We start from the raw sequence: 26,885 nt of genomic DNA, 5'->3' as shown, positions 1-26,885 counted from the left end.
ATTATAAATCTAAGATTATATCCTAGCATTATATCAATATAGCTCTTGATTGAGTTTTTCTTTCTGAACTCTCCTCTAGTTTTTACACTAAGAAAATAATATCAACTCACAGGATTTTGGAAATTGAATGATACTATCTGAGAAAAACGACAATGTCATATATTCACTCAATACATGTTCTTACTACACACAAATTTACCGAGTCATTGCTGCCTGCAAATCATTGTTCTGTGTGGTCAGAATATATTAGTAAATAAAATGAATTTACAATTTTTTATGATGACGACAAAGACAACAATGATATCATCATCATCATAAAAATAACTAATAATTTTATAATTTTTGATATGTGACAAGCAATAGTATAAGTATTTTATATCTAACATAATCCTTCTCTAAAAACAATGAGACAGAAATTTTTAGTTATCTGCACTCAATACATGATAAATTCAAATATAGTGAGATTAAAGCACTTGCTCAAGGTCATGAAGCTGGTAGATGGCAGAACTGAGATCAAAGCCAGGGAGTCTGGCTCCAGGATCTGTTCTTCACCATAATGCCACCTAATTATACTAAGTGACTATTAGTTGATTCTCCCAGTCTACTGTCTGAAAAAAATCTGATAGTTAAAAGTTACAGTGACTGAGAAATAATCCCTTATTTTTACCTAGGGAAGGCTAGAAAAGTTTAGAAGAAAAAAACAAGATTTATTTTAAGCATTAATTTTAAATCATTAAGGACTAATAAGCATGAGGTATAATTAATCTAAGTAACTTGTATGGTATAAAATTGTTCAGTTACATGGATTCTTATATATTTAGAATGCTCTTAATTTGTGGAAGAGAAAGATGACCACTGTAGAGCCTAACTAGTTTTCTATGATGACTGCAGGATACAGGGTAGGACTGCGACTAGAATGCCCAATAAAAAGGAAGGTCTCAGTGGGTTTTTTCACACATTTTTTTCTGTCTCTATTGTGCAGTCATTCAATTATAATATATAAATGAAAGATTTAATTAAATTAACACCAACATACACACAAAAGATATGCATTATTCTGCCTTAGGTAATAAGCCAAACCCAAGTTAACAACTCAAGCTGTCACCTTTGAGGTTAATAGTGTCCTTACTGAAAATAATTCAATAAATATTAATGAATGCTAAGACTGTGTTTATAGTAAATATTGGTGTTAGGATAGTAAATAAGTTGGAAAAATAATTATTAAAGCAAATCTCGTGCTAAGATTGCTTTAACTACATAACTGGAACAAGTAGATCTAAATGATATAATATTTTAATATCAAAAATTTTTTATGCTCTTTGAAATGATGAATGTAAATTATAATATTATTATTCATTTTTCTAGACTTCTAGACTGTTACTAAATTATTAACTATGAAAATCAGTAAACTGATTCTTCATTTATGTATTGGTTACCTCTAGTACACAAAAATACTATTTCACTCACCTAAACATATGCATAAAGTGGACTCCTGTTCAACTGAAAAGTAACACACAAAATAAATGTATTTTTAAGAAAAATTTAAATAATCCTGGATGTAAAAAATACATGTTTATTGCTAATCATAGGTACATTTTCCCTCAGTATGAGAATGATATTTTAATAAATTATGCTAAAGGAAAAATGAGCGAAACATTTTTTTCAAGATAATTTATAATGTCAAGTCATGCATGAGAGTAATGAGATTAATAATAGAAAGTATAGATTTATTCATTCTCTGGATGATAAATCATGATAAGTCATTACAGTCATTTAATTCTGGTGCAGTAAAACCATGTGATGGCAAAGAGAATGGATAATACTATTTAGAACAGTCCATGTCTAGTTGATGTTTTAAAATTAAGTCAGCGTTGTTAGTAGTGTTCTAACATTGTTTTACATTAATAGAAGTCTGGCAAATTTGAATGGAATATAAATCATATAAGAATTGAATACTCTCTCTGAAGATTTCAATACAGTACACGAAGAGAACATTCCAAGATCAGCTAATTTATCTTATAATTTATGATTTTATGACTCATACATTGATTGAACACTTTCATGAAACATATCGTTCGTCCAAAAATTAAGTTATAATAAAGTAATAAACACAAAGATCACAAACTTCATTTTAATCAGTCCATAACCATTTGTATCTTTATTATTTCTATGTAAAATCTCATTTTATTTTTTAAATAATTATACATTTATAAGTATTATTTTAAAGTTATGTAAACATCAGGCCCACAATTCATAAGTTACAAAGGGATTTTTCTTGGTTGCCTCTGACCCATAGTCCTAGTAAATTATTTGGAATTGCCGAGTGTTACAAGTTTATTTAGTAGTCTTTAGGGGATACTTCTCACATACAAAGTATACATATTTGCTTTTATATTCATTTATTCACTGCCCTTTTTACACAAAATTTAACATAATATACACACCATTCCAAACTTTTCATTTTATTTTACTGTTGTGAAGTCAGTCTTGGAGACCATTTTATGTAGCATAAAAATAACCATTTGTTAAATTCGGGTGGCCTATTTCATGTTAGAAAACACTTACTAAAAAATTTAAAAAGTGAGATATATTAATATGTATATTTTGAATTAATACATTAAAAATAAGATCAAGTAATAGGTCTAATTGCTATTCTAATTTTGAAATGTATGAGTTTAAACCATATTTTGAGATATTCATGAAAATGTAAAGTACAATAAAAAAATCTAAGATTTCTACTTTTAATTATATTCACAGCTACTCTGAAAGTATTATGACTTGGGTTCTGTGATCACAATTTAAGAAAATGCTCAATTTTAGAGCTTAGTGTGAATAATTTGTTTGTTTGCTTGCTTGCTTTGTTTTATTTTCTAATTCAAAATCACAGATCAACTGAATGCTTTTACATGGATCTGTGGACCCCAGGTATAGACCCTACTGTTGAAGAGAATGCAGAGTCTTTATTTTTGTTTTCAAATTTGTCTGTTTAGAAAGTATAATCACTGACATCAAAACTCTGAAAAAGTACACATTATTTATTTTTATGTTAGTTTCTATCTGGCAAAACTGAATATTAAGAAAGTATTAATCTGCATAAATACTCAGTTATTCTAACTTTACTTTCTGTTATATATTTACTTTCCATTATAACATGAAATAATATGTTATTCCATTATATAACATGAAAGAGTTCGTATAAGTTCTTAATGGATACTGAAATAATGATATAAAATTAAGATTGTCAAAATCTATGGTTAATGTTATACCCATAATAAATTAAATTTGTTACCATTATCAGTCATCTGATTTTAATAGCATTTCTGAGAATGAAAAATATTATCTTTTGAAAGATTTATTAGCTGAAATCATGTACATCTGTATTATGATTGGTGAGAGTTTTTCCAAATAGTAATGTTAAAAGAAACACAGATACATCATTATAAAATGAAATTAACCCAGGTCAATTTGCAGATGTAAATTTAATCTTTTAAATACATTGAAATAAAAGGTGATTTCAGAAGTTTGGTTTACTTACATGTGGACTTTGGCATAAATTAGCAAGTGAGATTTTATAATTCTATGAGGATAATTTCACCTTTATTGAAGTGCAAATGTATTAGAATATAAATTATAAAATCTTCTCCCATGTACATTGATGGCATGCTTTTTTCAAGTTAAAACTAAGAAAAATAAAATGTTCTCTAGATAGGTTAAAAAATTTTCTCTGGCCTCTTGGAGGTATTTATTAAAATGTCACATTCTTAGTGAGGCCTTTATAGGCCAGCTTTTTTTCTTTTTTTTTTTTTGAGACGGAGTCTCGGTCTGTCACCAGGCTGGAGTGCAGTGGTGCAATCTCGGCTCACTGAAACCTCTACCTCCCAGGTTCAAGCGATTCCCCTGCCTCAGCCTCCCGAGTAGCTGGGACTACAGGCGTGCCACCAATCCGGCTAATTTTTTGTATTTCAGTAGAGACGGGATTTCACCATGTTGACCAGGATGGTCTAGATCTCCTGACCTTGTAATCCACCTGCCTTGGCCTCTCAAATTTCTGGGATTACAGGCTTGGGCCACTGCGCCTGGCCTAGGCCAGCATTTTTAACATTGCAACCCCATGCTATTCTTTCCCTACATTTTTTTTTCTGTGCACTTAAATTTGTAAAGGATATTATACATTTTATTTATTTATTTTTTTATTTATTTTTTTGAGATGGAGTTTTGCTCTTGTTGTCCAGGCTGGAGTGCAATGGCGCGATCTTGGCTTACCGCAACCTCCGCTCCCTGGGTTCAAGTGATTCTCCTACTTCAGCTTCCCAAGTAGCTGGGATTACAGTCATGCACCACTAGCCCGTCTAATTTTGTATTTTTTTGGTAGAGACAGGGTTTCTCTATGTCGGTCAGGCTAGTCCGGAACTCCTGACCTCAGGTGATCCGCCCTCCTCGGCCTCCCAAAGTGCTGGGTTACAGGCATGAGCCGCCGCGCTCGGCCGGATATCATACGTTTTCTTTTTCTTTTTTTTCTCTTGTTTACTGTCCACCCTGCCATCTAGAATACATGCTCCAGGGGTGGGGATAGGCAAAACGGGGAAGACAGGGCTTTGTCTTTCTGTAGCTCAGACTCTATAACTTGCCTGACACAGACTAGGCACTATATAAACATATGTTGATAGAGTCTAATTAGTGTTTATAACTGCACTAGTGTGTCCAAACCTCATGAGCTTCCCTTCTTAACTACCTATGTCTCAGCCTGGCCACTTTTAACAACACACTCATTTAACTAACCACCAACCCCAGCAATGATTCTCACATTGTAGCTAAGCATATTGGTACCCTGGCATTATTACAAAAATGTTGAATCAAAAGATTTGTATTATCTCTAGACCTAGTGTTCCAGGGACTATTCTTAAGGGCCTTAATTGTAATAATAAAGATTTCTGAGCTCTGGTATTCTGGTCTAGTTTCAAAGACTTGGAAACTCTACCTTCCCAAATTTAATTTAATGCCTTCACTCTATAGGTATGCTAATTTCTACCACTTGTTCTAACTACCATGTCAAAAACCGATGGATTTTTCATTCATTCCAGCATGGGGAATTGGGGCTCAATACCCAATAAATCACAGAGGTCCATGGTATTTGGGATCTTAAAGTGATTTGGATTCAGACCAGTGGTTTTTATGGATGACAGCACATACTTATCACTTGGGGGAACTTTTAAACTCCAGTTCCCCCAGTCCTCAAAGTCCATAGTTTCACTCAGACATAAATAGTGTTTAAAACTTCCCGGGTGACTCCACTGTGCAATTACTGGGCCAATGTTCTAGCTCTGTTGCATCACTAAGAGTTCAGGCATTCTTAATCAAGGTCTGAACACTCCTTAAATAATCAATATATTCCATTTGATTCCTACTAAAATTTAGCCATGGGCATTTCAATTGTACTTAGTTGCCACACATCACAGAACAAAATTTGCAGGTTGCAAGGGAGTTTAACAAGAAAGATAGAAAGTTGTTGTGTTTCCTTATCAGTCCAGACAATCCGGGCTAAAATTTTGTCTTCTTTTTATTACAAGTTACAAGACGTTAGAAAAAACAATTCAACCCCACTATGATTTCTTTTCTTTAATTATTGCTTTATTTTAGTGGCCACCAAGATGCCTATCTGACCTTTAGTAAGTATTGCAATTTGAGCCTCAAAAAGATTAAGCTCCAGCAGAGCAGAGTCTGTGTCTGGTATTCCCAGTTCCTGGAACAAGGTCTGGTACATAACATGCTATGGTGAACAAAACAGAAATCTGGCAAAGGCTTAAATGGCAGATTAAATGCATTAATAGCATTAGACAATGGTACTCCATCTCATGATTTGTAGGAGAATAACATATCCTTGCATATAATCACAATACTCAAAATAATTCAAAATATCTCATATTTGGGGTTTGGTACATGCAATTCCTTTCTACAATCAGTCGTTGGGTCATAATTTGACTCCACATAATTAGGTGTATGTTGTAAGGCTGTGGCTAACCAAGGAAGAAAAAAAAAAAAAAGAATCTCAGCATCCCAGCTATCACTCCCTGACAGAAATCGTTCTCAACATTGGCTCTGCATTATAATAATGTGGGTAGCTTTAAAATATTTCCATACTCAGTGTATTTGGAATATACAAAGGTATATTCCAAATCAATTTCATCTGATGTTCTGGGTTCATGGACTCAGTTGATCAACCTTTTAAAAGGCTCCTATACATGTGATTCTGATATATGAGCAGGATTTATAATTATTAAAGTAGGAAAAGCCAAATTTTATTTCATAAAGAATTATAATCATAGACACTAAGTCACTTAGCAAGGAAGATCACTTATCAAATAAAACAGCACTAAGGAACTTGGAAGGAGATATTTCCGAGTATTTTTCCTGTGCTTTCACATTTAGATGACTCCCCTACTCTCTCTTGCTGTCTGTTTTTCTTTACAGTCTTCTTACTGAACCTCCTGTTCCCAAGTGTCTTATTCATGTTTTACTCCATGTTTTTCAAATGTTAACATGCGCCTATCTGAATCACCTGGAAGCCTTCTTGGCCCTATCCCCAGTGTTTCCATTTCAGAATGTTTGAGATTGGGCTCAAAAATGTTAATTTTTATTTTCTTCAGAATTCAATGGTATACTCTAAGAGTTGTAAAGCAATCATGATCATCTATGTCAGATTGTTTTCATTATCTCAAAAAGAAAAAGGAATCCTCATACATTAGCAGTCATGTCAATTATTTATTCTAGACATTTTATGTAAAGGAAATAGTAAAATAGGTGTTTTTTGTGACTGTCTTCTTTATCTTAGCATAATGTTTTCAAGGTCCATTGATGTTGTAGCATACATTAATATATTATTCAGTTGCATTACTAACATTAATTTGTATGGCTGTATATTTTATTTATTCATTCATTAGTTGCTGGGTATTTGTGTTGTTTCCACCTGTAGAATATTATAAACAATGTTTCTAAAGCATTCATGTTTTTATGTTAATCATGTTTTCATTTCCCTTGAATATATATGCAGAAATGAAATGAAGGGGTCATGTGGTAATTCTATGATTAACCTCTGTGGAACTGCCAGCCTCTTTTCCAAAGTGTCTGCACCATTTTACACTCACACCAACAGTGCATGAGAGTCCAATCTTTCACCATAAGTATGATATTAATTAAAAGGTGGTTTGTAGATGCCTTATATCAGACTGTGCACATTCCATTCTATTCTTAGTTTGTTCAGTGTCTTTATTATGTAAGCATATTTGATATTTTAAATAGCTTTTTCTGTGTCTATTGAGATGATCATGTGTTTTTTTACCCTTATGATATTAATATGGTTTATTATATTAAGTGATTTTCAGATGTTAAAACAAGCTTGAACTTCTAAGAGAAATCACATTAGTCACAGCATGTAATTCTTTTGATATGAAACTGGATTTGGTTTACTAGCATTTTTGAGAATATTTACATCTATATTCACAAGGAAATTTTTTTCTATAATGTCTTTATCTGGTTTGGGTGTCAGGATAATACAAGTTTATAGAGTGATTGGACAGTATGTCTTCCTTTTCTACTTCGTGTAAAAAATGTGAATTATTGATTTTGATTTATTTTATTTTATTTTTCTTTAACTTTTAACTTCAGGGGTACACGTGTAGGATGTGCTGGTTTGTTACATAGGTAAATGTGTGCCATGGTGGTTTCCTGCACAGATCATCCCATCACCTAAGTATTAAGCCCAGTATCCATTAGCTATTTTTCCTGATGCTCTTCCTCTCCCAATTCCATCCCCAACAGACCCTAGTGTATGTTGTTCACCTCCATGTGTCTATGTATTCTCATAATTCAGCTCCCACTTGTAAGTGAGAACATCCGGTGTTTGGTTAACCGTTCCTGTGTTAGCTCCATCCATGTTCCCGCAAAGGACATGATCTCTTTCTTTTTTATGGCTGCATAGTATTCTATGATGTATATGTACCATATTTTTTTGAAATCCATTCTATCATTGATGGGCATTTGAATTTAGGCAACAGGTACAAAATTACAGATAGGAGGAATAAGTTCTGATGTTCTATTGCACAGTAGAATTACTATGGTTAAGAATATTATATTGTATATATCAAAATAGCTAGAAGTAAGAATTGTAAATGTTCTCACCACAAAGAAGTGATAAATGTATGAGGTGATGGATATCCTAAATACCCTGATTTAATTTTTCCACAATGCCTACATGTATCAAAATATCTCTCTGTATCTCACAAATATGCACAATCATTATATGTCAATTAAAAAAATATTCTATAAAAATAAAAATTAAAAAATCTATACTCAAAAATCTTTCGTCAAGAACATAGCATACCTAGAACAAAATAAACCCCAAACAAGAAGTAAGACCATATTAAACAACAGAAATCAATGAAATTGAAAACAGAAAAAAATAGAGAAATCAATGAACAAAAAGTGGATTAACTGAAAAGATTAATAAAAATTGATGAATGTTTGGCAATGTTGTCCAAAAAATAGAGAAGTTGCAAATTACTAATATCATAGATATAACAAGAGATATCACAGAGGACTTTCAAAGATCTGATGGAGACATCAGAAATATAATAAGGGATTACTAGGAATAAAAATACACACATAAATTAGACAACAAACAAAAATCAATTTCTCAAAAACGCAATTCTCTCAAATAAAATAGATAATTTGATTAGCCCTATTCTGCTAAGAATATTAAATTTCTAATTAAAGAACTCTTCCCCAAAATCTCCAGAACAGATGATTTTCCTGGAGAATTTTATGAAACATTTAACAAAGAATTTACACCAATTCCACGTAGTGTTTTCCAGGACATATCACAACATATTTCATAAAACTAATATTATTCTGATATTAAAATCAAAAAAGACAAATATGCATGCCAATATATGTCATAAATGTAGATGTAAAGTTCATAGCAAAATGCTCAAAACTATAATTCATAAATAAATGAAAATAATTTTATTCCGTGATCCAGTGTGGTTTATATCAGAGATGCAAGGCTGGTTTATATTTAAGAGTCAATTGCTATAATCTATTAATAGACTAATGACAAAAAGCTCTCAAATAATATGAATCAATAAAATGAGGTCCATATATTTTTTGGTAAGAAATAAAATAAAATGTCTTTTGGCAATTTTAGAAACAGTTTAAGATGTCATATCAAAAACCTCCCCTGTCAAATATCTAAGTCAAAATGTTTAAGTTGAAACATAGCTTCTTTGCAATACCATAACCATTTCTAAGAATTTAATTTTTTATCACATTCCATTATTTTTCTGGAAAAGATGATAACTGTGATCATTCAATAATGGTGCCCATATTTTTAAATATGTAGGTAATTTCCATGTACATTGTATATTGTATTTTTAAGACCTTTGTTTCGGTTAACATATGTGTTTATGTGTGCATATTTAGGAATTTAAAAGTGAAAATATGTAAACATTTCAGCTTTTGCCTTTTAAATAATTATTGGGTTTATGTCACTATTTTACTTTTGTTAAACAGTTGGAATTTTATGGAGTCAAGTATCAAGGTATTTTTCTGGCATTCCTTATTGATGTAATTTTTATGGCTAATTTTCCCCCAGATACATACACATACACATGGACATACATATATGTGTAATATTTTATCATTATTGTGAAATTTAAATTCTAAATCCACATAGATTTATTTTGGTGTTTTGTATGCTACATAGATCCCACATTGTAATTTCTAAAAACAGTATTATTTTGAAAATATTTTTTTCCACCTATTTTGGATACATTCTTGATTATGTCAAAAGGTTTCTTAAAAACTTCTTTGTTTCGTGAAACATTGCGAACTTCAGAATGACAAATCTATTTAGAAAAATAAGATTAAATCATAAACTTTAAATATAAAATTATTCCCTCATTCAAGCTTTTCTTCCTTATACCAGATTCTACCAATTCAATCAATATGTTTGAAGGACAGACACATAATAATATTTGGATGCATTAGACAATTAAAAGGTGAAAAATATGTAAAATTTACACAAATGTACCAATGAATTATCTTGTTTAGAACTTAAATGTGAAGATTGAAAGAAAAAGAATTCATTGGCTTGCAGTTGATATGTTGTTTCTGGTAAGGAAACTCAAATTTACACATGTAAATTATTTTAAAAATTAGTAGAAAATAATTAGAATTAATTCATTCTTCTATGGAATATTAAATAATATAGAATTTTAACCAGCGCTTTTATGTCCATAAATATTAGTTTTTAGTTTTGATTATTTAAAATCACTTATACTTTAATTTGCATACTTAGTTTCATGGAAAATTTTGCCTATTTTATGTTTTCGAACTTAGCACTGAAAACAGAATATAATTCCCAAGGAGATTTCTACAGAGAACTTATTTGATTGTGAGATGATGATTCATTTTACAGTCAGTTATAATACAACTGAGAAGCTAGAAAACAAAACAGAGCAGAAAAAAACACAAAACCTAAAATAGCAAAGATAAGTTCATTCATTTTAATTATTCTTATATTGAATACGTATTTGTTACAAAATAAAGTTTTGCCTGATTTACACATCCTGTTGTTACTCCATGAAAACCATGAATATCAAAAAGGTAGGTGTCCTTATTGCCACTTCACTGAAATAAAAATTGGAATTTAGATATATTCATACAATGAAGCAGAAATATTTTAATGATAAATTGTTTCTCAAGCCTTCACTCATAGTTACTGCCTTCAGTTTGGATGTATTTTAATGCATCTGTACCTTACTTTTGCAGTAAATGCCCTTCAAAAAGTAACGAAGTAGATTTTAGGTGTAGTTTCTTAAAATCAAGAACATTCCTAATAAAGGGATGTCTAGGCAACAAAATTAAATTTATTTGACCCAACAGGGAATTTATAATAGGAGAATTTTATAGCTCAGAAAGTAAAAATAGATGATAATTATTTAATATTATTTTAATATTTTCTAAGTAAACACTGTATTTTAGCAGAAGAAAATTTTAGCAATGCATCCTGATAGAAAAATGATTATAATTAACAATACTGGGTGAGAACACAAAATTGTAACGTATTTCATTTCATATATTAGAGTAAAGTTGTTAGGATTAATGGAACAAATTATGATTTCACAATAATTTCACTTAAATGGAACCTCCAATTTCTCTGATATGACATAGATCTAGAATTTATTTCACACAAAAATGTATAACTGAATGTGTGTGTATCTGTTTGCAGACTACAATTCGTCTATAGATTGGATTTCAAATTCTATTAGGAAGTTTGTTTGTTCAAATTTGAAACAGAGTTTCCCTGATGCTATTTTCTGAATGTTTGTGTCCCCCCAAAATGTATATATTGAAATATAATCCCCCAATTATACTCTTAAGAGATGGAGACTTTAGGTTGTGATTAGGTCATGAAAGCAAGCAGAGTCCTCAAGACTGGGATTAGTTCAGACAAGAGACCCATGGAAGCTTGTTTTCCCATTTCGCCATGTGAGCATACAGCACATAGCTCATTATCTATAAAGTAGAGTGCAGGCCCTCACCAGACAACAGATCTGCTGGCACCTTGATCTTGGACTTCCCAGCCTCTAGAACTGTAAGAAATAGATTTCTGTTGTTCATAAGCCACCCAGTTTATGATATAATATCACAGCAGCTCAAACAGACTAAGGCACTTGATAATGAAAATAAAATAAAATGGTTCATTGCAAGACTATAAAGTTTTACCCTGTACAAAGAGAGAATTAGACTCTTACAAGAAATAGCTTTACTAGAAAGTTTTCCAAACAGTGTTTAATATTGTCATTGTGTTACCTCTATTATGAGAATGTTTTCCTGGTCATTTATATCTTGTTCATCACTACATTAATAATTTAAGAACTGCTTTCACACAATTACTGCGAATCATTGTGTGGATATTATAACAACTCTAGTAACTACCATTTTGTTTAATGACCTCAAAATTCATTTTATTCAACAAAATTATTCTTTATTATATGTGAGGAAAGAAACTACATATTTACAAATTTTAAATGTGCTTATTTTACCATAGATATGTAAATTAGCTGCAAAAGGCCATTGTCTAAGATTTAGTGCACCCATATAGACATATTAATTATTGCTTCCTTGATTAGAAGAATTTCTTTGACATTAATTGTGTAGTATTTATCTCTCTTAATATCTGTATACAGACTTACACAGACATCTGACATCAAAGTGTAAAATACTGCTTATTTATCTGGCAGTACATAATTCTGAAACAATGAAAAGTAATGTCAATTGCTTTAAAGTAAACATTTCTCTAACAAAAGTTAAAAACATTACTATCTCAATATTTTTGTTAGTAACATAGCAGTCAGTGAGCATTATATTAATAAAAAGTCACCCTGATGAGCATAATAAAGAAAGAGTTCGATGGCCTAAAGAAGCAGTTTTGTTATTATGTAGTAGACAAATAGGCACCAATGGACATAATTATTTCCTTAAATATGTTTTGAGGGGAACATAAAATACAATGACATTCACCTTTCCAGAACTTGTGCCTCTTTAGGGTAAATTTACCTTTCTTTCCTCATTGAATACAAATGTTAATACCATCCCTCTTTTTTCTTCTCCCCTCCCAACTCTCCTTTTTGACTAGACCAATGTCCAAGGCTAGTGTGCACTTTGTAACTCCACTGCAAAGCACATTTACTTCCTAATAATCTGAGACTTAAATGCAGTTTCCTCCAGGTATCATTGAGAGATGGTTTTAAGGATTAATAAAATATGGCCTATGAGACTATTATCTTTCTCATACCTGCTTTTCCTTCAGATGGTGTACAGGATAATCACAGATCGATTGTTTAAAGAAATATTCCTATATTCTTAAAATAGCCAGCAATTTTCACATATAGGTTAAATAATAATAAATTAATATAAATTCTTAATTATAAGTTCCCTGGATCATTCATTGATGTATTCATTAAGCAAACTTTGGATGAACATCCTATAACATACTTTTAGGTTCTGGTTGTACAAATATTTGTATCAATATGTCATATTTATATTTATATTAATGTCCAGGTGAATGAAAATTTTTATTTTAAAATTATTTTTAAATGTTATCTATTTATGATGCTTTAAATCGCCAATATTTTACAAATGAAATATGTTCATTTATTCATTCATTCCTCTCTGGGAACTTAGGATATAATATTGAAGAGACACATGATGAACAAATTAAAAATTCATAGCCCCTTACTCAATATGCTCCTTCTGAAGAATGAAACCTTGCCTAAAGACCAGTCTGACCTCAGGAACTCTCACTCCAGCTCCAGATCTGGAATGCAAACTTGGGAATGGAGCTACAGTGGCCCTGACCCACAACAAGTGAAGTTTTGATGCTCATCATGCAAGGTACCTGGGAGACTGAGGATTTAAAAAATTGAGATATAATTCATATGGCATAAAATCCACTCTTTTGAAAGTGCACAATTGAGGGAAGAGCCAAGATAGTTAACTAGACTCAGCCAGGAAGAGCGTCTCCTACCAAGAAACCAGACTGTCAAGTAGACCAGCACACTCTGAACAAATATTTGGAAGGAAGTCATTGAAAGTGGAAAGAGGGGGGATGCAGACTCTGAGATGAAGGGTGAGGAAGCTGAGATCCCCACATGGTGTTACCAAGAACCAGGACTCATTCCAGGCCCAAAGTGGCTCCTAAGGATGGGCTGATTTAAATAGAAATAAAGTGACCCACTCTCACTGCTGGTCACTACAGACCAGCAGAATTCTAGCTTCAACAGACCTCACAACCCTCATGGACATTTGAGCTGGCAGGAAGAGCTGTTTGAAGAGTTGGCAAGGACAGGACTCCAGACTGTGTGGAGCCTAGAGGGTTTGGCCTGGGAACAGCAGCAATGAAGTGTGATCAGTTATGCCCTGCTGTAGGTGGTTTTGGGATTTATTGACTATCGGACCTGTACAGGGACCGAACAGGGCAATCTTGCCAGTGGAATGGGATCAGTCTGATCTGACTTCACCCCTGCTTGCTGGCCTCTCCCAGGGTTCCTGCCTGACCACACCCACTTATGGCAAAGCCTCAGATGCCCAACTGGGGCACTTCTCAGTGGCCACTGCCATAGCTCCTTCACCTGCAAATCCCACCTAAGCATCAGAGAGCTTCTGCAAACAGGTTCCTTCTAGTATGCACCTGCTTGCTGTCTCCCCGCACTGCTGTGTAGGCACACACTTGCCTGCAGCATCCCCCCACCATTTTGTTGGTGTGCACACATGTGTGGACCCAACGACCCTACCATCCTGCTGCCTCTGCTATGTGCAAGTGCAGACCCCACTGCTGCCAAAACAAAGTGCTTTTGCCAGCATCTCTGTCACAGTGTTGTTGCCAGTTGACTGGGAACACTTCACCTCTTTCAGTAGCAGGTGATAAACCTTGAGTGGCCACACAACAATGTCATGGGCTTGGTCCCACACCCCAGGCTTAGAGCATGCAGCCTAGGACTGCAGAGCTGAGCCTTGCTTCCCTGATATTGTCCAGAAATAAAACCAGTTGACTGAAACCAACTTATACTACAGTCAAACCCCCAAGGGTACCTATGAATGTAAAATCAAAAAGCCTCACCTGCAGGAGAGTGGCTTTAAAAAACCACAGATCAGAAAGAACTAGTGCAAAAACTCTAGCAATGCAAAAAGCCAAAGTGTCTTCTTACCCCCAAATGACTGCACTAGCTCCCCAGAAATGATTCTTAACCAGACTGAAATGTCTGGAATAACAGACACAGAATTTAGAATCTGAATGGCAATTAAGATTATTGAGATTCAGGAGAAAGTTGAAACACAATCTAAGGAAAATAAGGAATCCAATAAAATTATGCAAAAGCTCAAAGATAAAATAGCTATTTTAAGAAGGAATCAAACCGATCTGATAAACTTAGTAAAAGTTTAGCTCAGTACAAGAGCTGAAAAACTTAGTACAGGAATTACATAACTACAAGAATTTCATAGTATAATCAAAAATATTCACAGCAAAAGTGATCAAGCTGAGGAAAGAATCTCAGAGCTTGAAGACTGTTTCCTCAAATCAAATCAGTCAGATAAAAATAAAGAAAAAAGAATATTAAAGAATGAATAAAAAGTCTGAGAAACATGAGATTATGTAAAGAGAGCAAATCAATGACACATTCGCTTCCTTGAGAGGGAGAGAGAACAAGCAAAATGGAAAACATATTTGAGGGTATTTTCCGTAAAAAAAAAATTCCTGAAACTTGCTAGAGAGGTCAACATACAAATTCAAAATATTTGAAGAACACATATGAGATAGGAGGTAAGACAATAATCTTCAGAACAGAAATTCATCAGATTCTCCAAGGTCAAGGTAAAAGAAAATGTATTAAAAGCAGCTAATAAGAAGGGGCAGGTCACCTCCAAAAATAGCACCATCAGGCTAACAGCAGAACTTTCAGCAGAAACCCTAAAAGCCAGAAGGTATTGGGGGTCTATATTCAGCATCCTTAAAGAAAATAAATTCTGTACAATAATTTTACATACAGACAAACTAAGCTTCATATACAAACAAGAAATAAAACCTTTTGTATATGAACAGACACTAAGGGGATTTATTACCACCAGGTACACCTTTCAAGAGGTCTTTAAGGAATCACTGAACTTGGGAATGAAAGACCATCACCAGACACTGAAAAAACACAATTACATACAATATACAATTATACAATAAAGCAACTATACAATCAAGTCTGCATAATAACCAGCTAACAACACAATGACAGGATCAAATCACACATATCAATATTAACCTTGACTATAAATGGGCTTAATGTCCCACATACAAGGCACAGTGGCAAGTTGAATAAAGAAACAAGACCCAACTATCTACTGTTTTTCAGAGACCATTCTCACATGCAATGACATCCATAGGTTCAAAGTAAAGGGATGGAGAAAAAAATCTACTAAGCAAATGGGAAACATAAAAGAGCAGGGATTGCTATGCTTATTTCAGATAAAACAGATTTTAAATGAACAATAATCAAAAAGGACAAAGAAGGACATTACACAATTAAAATAATTCAAAAAGAAGACAACTATCATAAATATATATGCAGTCAACACTACAGCACCCAGATTCAAAAAAGAAGTTCCTAAAGACCTGTGAAGAGACTGAGATAATCACAATAATAGTGACAGACTTAAATACCCCACTGATGGCATTTGACAGATCATTAAGGCAGAAAACTAACAAAGGTATTTGGGACCTAAACTCAAAACTTGACCAAATAGACCTAATGGATATCTACAGAACATTCCAACCAACAACAACAGAATATACATTCTTCACATCTGCAGATGGCACATACACTAAAATTGAGCACATGCTCAGCCATAAAACAATTCTTTCAACAAAATCAAAAACACCAAAATCATGCCAGCCACACTCTCAGACCACATTACAATAAAAAAAGAAATTAGTACAAAGATCTCTGAAAATGGTGCAATTACACGGAAATTAAACAACCTGCCCCTGAATAACTCCTGAGTAAACAATGAAATTAATGCAGAAATCAAGAACTTCTTTGAAACTAATGAAAACAAAGACACAGCATACCAGAATCTCTGGTACACAGCTAAAGCAATGTTAACAGGAGAGATTACAGCACTAAACACTTACATCAAAAAGTTAGAAAGATCTCGAATGAACAACCTGACATCACACTTAAAGGAACTCAAAGAAATAACACAAATCAATTCCAAAGCTAGCAGAAGAAAAGAACCAAAATTAGAGCCAAAATGAATGAAATTGAGATGCCAAAAAAATGCAAAAGATAAATGAAACCAAAAGTTGTTTATTTTAAAGCATTTATTTTAGGTTTAGGGGTTCATTTGCAGGTTTGTTATGTAGCTAAATTGCATGTCACAGGGGTTTGGTGTACAGATAATTTTGTCACCTAGGTAGTAAGCATAGTGCCCGATAGGTAGTTTTTAAGCTTTGCCACCCTTCCACCCTTCACACTCAAGTAGATCCTGGTGGCAATAGTTCCCTTCTTTGAGTCCATGTGTACTTAAGGTTTTGCTGCCACTTATATGTGAAAACATTCCATACTTGGTTTTCTGTCCCTGGCTTAGTTTGCTTAGGATGATGGCCTCCAGCTTTATCCATGTTGCTGCAAAGGACATGATCTCATTCTTTTTAATGGCCGTGTATTCCAGGATGAATATGTAGATTTTATTTATTCAGTCTACTGTTGAGGGGCATCTAAGTTGATTCTGTGTCTTTGTTAATGTGAATAATGCTGTGATGCATACACAAATGCATGTCTTAAAATAGAATGATTTAAATTCCTTTGGCTATGTACCCAATAGTGGGATTCCTCAGTCAAATGGTAATTCTGTGTTAAGTTCTTTGAGGAATCACCAAACTGCTTTCTGCAACGGCTGCACTAATTTACCTTCTCCCTGCAGTGTATAAGCATTTCCTTTTCTCCATATCCTTGCCAGCATCTGTTATTGTTTTTTACTTTTAATAACAGCCATTGTGAGGGATGTAAAATGATATCTCATTGAGGTTTTTGTTTGCATTTCCCTAATGATTAGTGATGTTGAGCATTTTTTCATATGATTCTTGACTGCATATCTGTCTTCTTTTGAAAAGTGTCTGTTCACATCCTTTGCCCACTTTTTAATGAGGTTATTTGTTCTTTGCTTATTGATTTGTTAAATTTCTTATAGATGCTGGATATTAGCCCTTTGTCAGATGCATTGTGTGGAAAAATGTTCTCCCATTCTGTAGGTTGTCTGTTTACTCTGTTGACAATTTCTTTTGCTGTATAGAAGCTCTTTAGTTTGATGAGATCCCGTTTGTCTATTTTTGCTTTTGTTGTAATTGCTTTTGGCATCTTCGTCATGAAATCTTTGCCCATTGCTATGTCCAGAATGGTGTTGCCTAGGTTGTCTTCCAGGGTTTTTATTGTTTGGCATTTTACATTAAAGTCTTTAATCCATCTTGAGTTGATTTTTTATATGGTGTAAGAAAGGGGCCCAGCTTCAGTCTTGCGCATATGGCTAGCCAGTTAACCTAGCACCATTTATTGAATAAGGTGTCCTTGCTCTATTGTTTCTTTTTGTCAGCTTTGTCAGAGATCAGATGGTTGTAGTTGTGCAGCCTTATTTCTGGGTTCTTTAATTTGTTCCATTGGTCTATGCATCTGGTTTTGTACCGGTACCATGCTGTTTTGATTACTACAGCCCTGTAGTATAAAGTCAGGTAGCATGATGCCTATAGCATTGTTCTTTTTGCTTAGGATTGTCTTGGCTATTCTGTTTTTTTTTTTTTTTTTTTGGTTACATATGAATTTAAAAATAGATTTTTCTAGTTCTGTGATGTATGCTGTGGAAAGCAGTGTGGTGATTCCTCAAAGACCTAAAACCATACCCACCATTTGACCCAGGAACCACATTACTGTGTATATACTCAAAGAAATATAAATCATTCTATCATAAAGACACATGCACAAATATGTTCACTGCAGCACTATTCACAATAGCAAAGACATGGAATCAACCTAAATACCCGTCAATGGTAGACTGGAATAAATAAAACGTGATACATATATACCATGGAACACTTTGTAGCAATAAAAAAAAAGGTGATCATGCTCTTTGCAGGAACATGAATGAAGATGAAGGTCATCATTCTTAGTGAACTGAGGCAGGAACAGAAAACAAAATACTGCATGTTCTCACTTATAAATGGGAATGAAATGATGAGAACACATGGAAACATAGAGGGGGACAACAAACACTGGGGCCTACCGGAGGGTAGAGGGTGGGAGGAAGGAGAGGATTATCGGAAATAACTAATTGATACTAGGTTGAATACCTGGGTGGTAAAATAATCTGTACAACAAAGTCCTGTGACATGAGTTTATCTGTATAACAAACATGCACACGTATCACTAAACTTAAAATAAAGATTTTTTAAAAAATGGAACAGTCACACAAGATTTTGTGTGCAATTTCACAATATTAACACATTTTCCTAAAGTTCAACACTAGGTTCCCTCCAAAAGCTTGGTGCACCTTTATGGGTCCCAGTTAGAACCCCTTGACTTAATTTTACTGTCCTTTCTTAATGTAAATGGTTTTCTTTAGAGAAAAACTTGGATGTCTACCCTACGTGATTATATGTGCCTTGCCAACAGCATATCTTTTGTTTATTCCTGGTAAGTGAAGAATATTTCAAGATATAAAAGACACTGGAAAGCATTGTTTTACTTATTGTTATTAATCACATCTTCTTTAGAAACTGTTTTGTGAATGAAATATGTGTACCAGAAAATGTATCTGCTTCCTTTTGTAAATCAATACAACAAACAAATACATGCTGTTTAAATGCTGATATCATATTCTCAACTCATCTGCCTATTTTGAAATATTAGAATACTATGAATATGCTTAAGAAACAAGTAATGCATCAATGTAGATAAAATATTAATCTTTTTAAAAAATTTAGGTTTATCAAAAAGCCTTAAGAAATTGTGAGAAACAAAAATAAAATATTGATGCATTAAAATATAACAGAATTTCGTTTTACTAAATTTGGATATTATTATATTCATTTTACAATGGAAGAGCTTGCAACATAATTCGTAAAACAGAGAAAATGTCTGCACAGAAATGACAGAGTTATATATACATGAGGCACTCAGTCACCCTTGCTCATTACATTTTCTTTCACTGAGAATTTTAAGAAAATAATATATTTAAAACATTTTTAAATATGAATATTCACATTATATTTCCATCTTTAAAATCAAGAACACTCAAACATTAATATTTTACAATGCTGAAAAAATTTCTGCCCCCAAGAGAATGTGATATGATTTTACAAATTATTCATTTTATAATTTAAAAGCTTATTGTCATCATATGTCTCCCAAAGTATGTGCGTGTATATGCACATATACACAAACACATACATACATATATGCACACAAAAATGTTTATATATGTAATTTTGGGCTGATAACATTTGAAACTTTTCTGAAAGAACAAAACTACTAAAAAACCCAAGTGTGTGCATATAAATATATACACACACACTCAGGTTTTTGATATATGTATATCAGAGTATAACATATATATATATATATCAGAGTCTAATCAGAGTATATCTCTGATTTCTGTGAATCTTGTTGGCTTTATAGACAAGATTCTTAAAGTCTGCATCATGACTTTTAAAAGTTACAGGATGAATTCCTTCATGCAGCTGATTTTTGATGATTTCACAAGGACAAACTTTAGTTATTTGAAATTCATCACTAGCATTTTCCCAAAGATACATAAATAGTATGGTGCAGCACTGAATTCATTTAAAATGAACTAATCACAAAATCATATCATGATGAAATACGTGTCAAAAAAATGACATAGCCATATTTATCTTAAACCAAGCATAGTCATCCACAGTCATTAAAGGTGGTCAGTCTGAAAATGGAAATGAGATTTAAGGGTAAATATTCTTGTTCATTCCAGTGGTTCAAACAGAATAGCAAGCAGGTGAGCCTATAAATACCTAAACTTTTGTAAAGTTAAGTGATAAATTAAGGAAAGGGAATATAATCATACTTTTTAAGATAAGGCAAGAAATTTTTTCTATAAGATAGAGCTATGATTATGCTATAACATTGGTAAAATAGTGGACAACAAAACAGAGAGCATAAAAAGTATGAAACTAAGTCATTTTAAACTGTGAAACTCCTATTTGTTAGAAAAACATTACAAATCCATGGGTATATCAATTCAATAAACCTTATTAAAAATGTAGCTATTCATAAGAAAAAAGTAAGGTATGATTCCATCACACCACATGAGAGAAAATTCCCAAATAAGTTTACCGTATTAGTCCACTCTCACGCTGTTAGGCTATCAATAAAGACATACCCAAGGCTGGGTAATTTATAAAGGAAAGATGTTTAATTGACTCACAGCTCAGCATGGTTGAGGAGGACTCAGGAAACTTACAATCATGGCTGAAGAGGAAACAAACACATCCTTTTTCACATGGAGACATGAAGGAGAAATGCTGAGCAAAGGGGTAAAGTCCCTTATGAAACCATCAGATCTCATGAGAATTCACTCACTATCACAAGAACAGCATAGAGGTAACAGCACTCATGATTAATTTATCTCCCACCAGGCCCCTCCCACAACACGTGGGGATTAATTATGGGAACTACAAGATGAGATTTGGGTGGGGACACAGAACCAAACCATATCATTCCACCCCTGACTCCTCCCAAATCTCAAGTTCTTACATTTCGAAACACAATCATGTCTTTCAAGCAGTCCCCAAAAGTCTCAGTTCACTCCATCATTAACCCAAAAGTCCAACTCCAAAGTCCAATTTGAGACCAGACAAGTCCCTTCTGTCTATGAGTCTTGACTGTAAAGTCAATAGCAAGTTGTTACTTCCTAGATACAATGGGGGTACAGGCATTGGGTAAATACACCCATTCCAATTGGGGGAAGTTGACCAAAACCAAGGGGCTACAAGTCACATACAAGTCCAACATCCAGCAGGGCAGTCAAATCTTAAAACTCTGAAATAATCTCCTTTGTCTCCATGTATCACATCCAGGTCACACTGACCCAAAGGTGGGCTTGCACGGCCTTGGGTAGCTCCACCCCTGTGGTTTTGCAGGATACAGCTTCCCTCCTGGCTGCCTTCATGGGCTGGTGTTGAGTGCCTGTGGGTTTTCCAGGTGCACAGTGCAAGCTGTTGGTGAATATACCATTCTGGGGTCTGGAGACCAGTGTCCCTCTTCTCATAGCTCCACTAAACAGCACCCCAGTGGGGACTCTGTGTTGGGATGCCCACCCCACATTTCCTTTCCACACTGCCCTAGTAGAAGTTCTCTATGATGGCTCCACCCCTGCAGTAAACTTCTGCTTGGACAATCAGGTGTTTCCATACATTCTCTGAAACATAGGTGGAGGTTCCCAAACCTCAATTATTGACTTTTGTGCACTACCAGGCTCAATAACACATGGAAGCTGCCAAGGCTTGGGGTTTGTAACCTCTGAAGCCATAGACTGAGCTGTACCTTGGCTCCTTTTAGCCACAGCTGGATCTGGTGGGATTCAGGGCACCAAGTCCCTAGGCTGCACACAGCCAGGATGCCCTGGATCTGGCTCACGAAACCATTTTTTCCTTCTATGACTCTAGGCCTGTGATGGAAGGGGCTGCCATTAAGACCTCTGGCATGCCCTGGAGACATTTTTCCTAATTGTCTTGGTGACTATCATTTGACTCCTCGTTACTTATGCAAATTTGTGCAGCCAGTTTGATTTACTCCCCAGAAAATTGGTTGCCCTTTTCTATTGCATTATCAGGCTGCAAATTTTCCAAACTTTCATGAAATGCTTCCTCTTGAATGCCTTGCCACTTAGAAATTTCTTCCACTAGATATCGTAAATCATCTTTCTCAAGTTCAAAGTTCCACAGATCTCTAGGGCAGTGGCAAAATGCCACTAGTCTCTTCCCTAAAACATAACAACAGTCACCTTTATTCCAGTTTCCAACAAGTTCCTCATCTCCATCTGAGACTATCTCAGCCTGGACTTCATTGTCCATGTCACTATCAGCATTTTGGTCAAAGCCACTCAAAAAGTCTCTCATAAATTTCAAACTTTTCCATATCTTTCTGTCTTCTTCTGAGCCTTCCAAACCATTGAAACCTTTGCCTGTTACCCAGTTCCAAAGTTGCTTCGGCATTTTCAGGTATCTCTACAACAGTGTCCCACTACCCAGTACCAATTTACTGTATTAGTTCATTCTTATGCTGCTAATAAAGACATACCTGAGACTGGGTAATTTACAAAGGAAAGAGGTTTAATGGACTCACTGTTAAGCATGACTGGGAGGCCTCAATAAACTTACAATCATGGCAGAAGGGGAAGCAAACACGTCCTTCTTCACATGGCAGCAAGAAGGAGAAGCACCAAGCAGAAGGGGGAAAAGCCCGTTATAAAACCATCAGACCTCATGAGAAGTCACTCACTATGATGAGGACAGCATGGAGGTAACCACCCCCTAGTTTCAATTACCTCCCACCAGGTTCCTCCTACGACTTGTAGCGACTATGGGAACTACAGATCAAGATGAGATTTGGGTGGGGATACAGCAAAACCATATCGTGGGTGGGGATACAGCAAAACCATATCAATTTAGGACATAAATATTTAAAGAAAAACTCTCAAATAACATCTAGCAAATAAGATACTATTATTGTGATATTGCATAGACTAGAAATAAAATGAAAATACAAGGATTAAAATGAAGATTAAAATGTTATATATACTTTAGTTTTTTCTGAACAAGGAAAATGAAATAAATAATATTAAAATATAAGCAAACAATTAAGGAAAGATGTTTCAAAGCATGTAATTAACCAAGACTTTTTAACCAAAATATATTGCAGAATTTCATCAAAGCAACAAGCTTAAAAAAAAACACACAAAAATATGGAGAGAATATAATCAAACACAAAATTAAAGAATTCAAAATGCTCTCAAAATAATTATGTGAAAAGAGGTTGAATTTTACACACAATCCTGACAATACGTAATGAAACAACAGTGAGATATCATTTCACTCACAGCACATTAATAAACTGGTTCTTTAAAAAATAAACTTTATTTTTTACAATATCTTGTATTTTTGCAAAATAAAGTTTGACTACATTTTTTCGTCATGTGCTGCATAATGATGTTTTGGTCAATGGCAGTCTGCATATATGACAGTGGTCCCATCAGATTATAATTGAACTGAAATATTCATATCACACACTGACATAGCTGTTGCAATGTTGTAATGCAACACATTACCTTTTCTATGCTTAAATAAGATTAGATACACAAATACTTACTATTGTGTTACAATTGCTAACAGTATTCACTACAAGAACACGCTATACAGGTTTGTAGCACAGGTGCAATAGGCTATGCCTGTATAGCCTAGGTATATAGTGGACTATGACATCTAGGTTTGTGTAAGTACATTCTATGATGTTCTCATGACAAAATTGCTTAATGACATATCTGAGAACATATTCCCTTTATTAAGCAATGCATGACTACGTTTTAGATTTACAGAGAAACTGTGAAAATTGTTCTGACTTCCTTTGTAGATCACACCCAGGTTCTTCTATTATTAATATCTTCCATTAGACTTGTTCTTTTATTTATTGGTTTATGAATAAACCAATATTTATACATTATAACTAACTAAAATCTGTACTCTATTTAGATTGCCCTAGTTATTTAGTTTCCTTTTTTTTTTTAATTCCAAGATCTCATCTAAGATGTTTTTCTTATTAGACTAAGGTTATTGGTTTGGGGGAGGAAGACCACAGAGAGTATGTGAATTTTTATCAAAATATATCAAAGATACATGCTATTCATGTCACATCACTGTTGATGTTGACACGTTGACCTTGATCGCCTGGATATGGTAGTATTTGTCAAGTTTCTCTACTCCAAAGGTAATATTCTCCTTTTACATACTGTACTCTTTGGAGAAATTTATTATGCCCAGCTAACACATCATGAGTGCAGTTAATTTTCACTTTTTTGAGGATGGAGTATATATATAAATTATTTGGACTTCTTCTATATGCAGTATTTGTCTCTTATTTATTTATGTTTTCAAACATTTATATCATTACAGATTCATAAATATGTATGTTATACTCTGGTTACATTCAATAACACATTTGTGGTTTTTTTGTTCAAATTGTTCTGACTGTGGCTATTAAAAGCTATTTCTATTGGTTACTGTTTCCCTGGTTATGGCTAGGTTTTGGCATATTATCTTGCAGTATTTTTTTAACAAGTCCTCACTCTCTGGAACTTTAAGATACTCCAAAATAATCTTGTGTATTTCCTACCCCAGCCTTACAAACAGCCATTTCTTCAAGGAGTCCTTGATCCTTTTATTGCAGAATTGTATTACAAACCAAGATCTGGGTGCTAGATCTATGTATGATAACTGGAGGGCCCTTGCTTCCAGGTCCTCTCTGCTGAAAAAGCAATTAAATATATGCAATTAAATAATTACTTAATTGCAATTAAATATACTATCAAATGTATAAATTTGATAGCAATTAAATATACTATCAAATGTATAAATATAAATATGTACATAAATATGTATCCATCTGTACCTATAGTTAACTATACATGAACTTACATGAATATCTCCCACTCTAAGCCTGTAGCACATGGATTTGCCTCAACACCCCCGTTACTTTTCTAGAGTCTCACTCCATCAGTGAGAAATCTGACTCCCACCATTCACCATATATTTGCTTTATTGCTCATTTCCAGTACACATATACAGCAGTGTCAAAAATGTTAATCAATAACCTTGCAGGACACAACTTTATAATTAGATTACGGTGCTTATGGGCCTTTTCTTTTACATTTAGTCTTACAAATTTCAACCATTTTCAAAGTTACTAGATCAACAGCTTTCTCCCCCAATGTCCTTCAATAAAGTTGTTTTATACATTTGACATAGAGTTAAATCATTTTGTCACATTCTGCATTTCATTCTGCAATCCCCATCATCAATGTTTTTTAAATTTGCATACATAAGCGTCCACTTTTTTTGTTGTAGAGTGCAATTGATTTTGGCTTGCATAGTGTCATGTCTCCACAATTACATTTGCATATAGAATAGAAACAACAACAACAGAATACAGGAGAATCCCTGAATATGCAGGAATTAATGATACATTTAAAAAAGAAACATGAAGGGAAATTAAAAAGTATATATATTTTTAAATAGCAAGGAATAAATCAAAAGTTAAATTGGAATATACTCTTTCCCTGGAAAAGAATAAAAATACTATCTATTAAGATTAGCGAATGTAGCTGAAACAGATAATTCACCCCACAAAGAAAATTTGTTTCACCTATTTAACCCTCCCCTTACTCTCCAACCTCCACAACCACTGATATTTCTATCATTGTAGCTTCATCATTCCAGAATGCCATATAATTGTAATCATACTATATACAGCTTTTGCATACTACTTTTTATCACTTAGAAATGTGCATTCTAAGTTTCCTCCATTTTTTAATGTCTTGATAGCTCCTTATTCTTTATAGCTAAATAAAAACCCATTGTATGCATGAAGCATGTCCAACACTTTATTTATCTATTGAAGGACATCTCAGTTGCATTCTTTACACACAACTTACTTCTAATTTGGGGCAGTTATGAATAACGTTTCTATACATATATGTGCAAAATAAAACGTGATGACTTTTTAAATGTCAGTCTATTTCTGGGTTTTCAGTTATGTTTCATTGATCTATGAATCCATTCTTCAGCAAATACCAGGCTGTCTTCATTAGTATAAATCTATATTGTCTTAAAATTGAGTAGTATTAATTTTTCAACTTTCTTTTTTGAGTACTGTGCTGTCTATTGTATGTCTTTGACCTTTCCATATAAATTTTAGAATCTGTGTACTGATACCTAAATAATTTTTTGATGGAATTTTGATTGGGGTTACACTGTCTCTGTAGAACAAACTGGGAAGAACTGGCAGCTTAACAACACTGAGTCTTCCAATGTATGAACATGGAATACATCTTCATTTATTTAGGTCTTTGATTTAACTTCAACACAATTTTATAGTTTTCAGCATATTAATCCCATATATATTTTGAAAGATTTATATCTTTCTTACATTTTTAATATTATAAGTAATTTTTTCAGCTTTTATAATCAGTAGGTACATGTGCAG

Source organism: Homo sapiens, chromosome 5 (assembly GCF_000001405.40).
Source record: "Homo sapiens chromosome 5, GRCh38.p14 Primary Assembly".
NCBI lineage: Eukaryota > Metazoa > Chordata > Mammalia > Primates > Hominidae > Homo > Homo sapiens.
The sequence above is the reverse complement of the archived record's forward strand: the minus strand, read 5'-3'. Positions refer to the sequence as shown.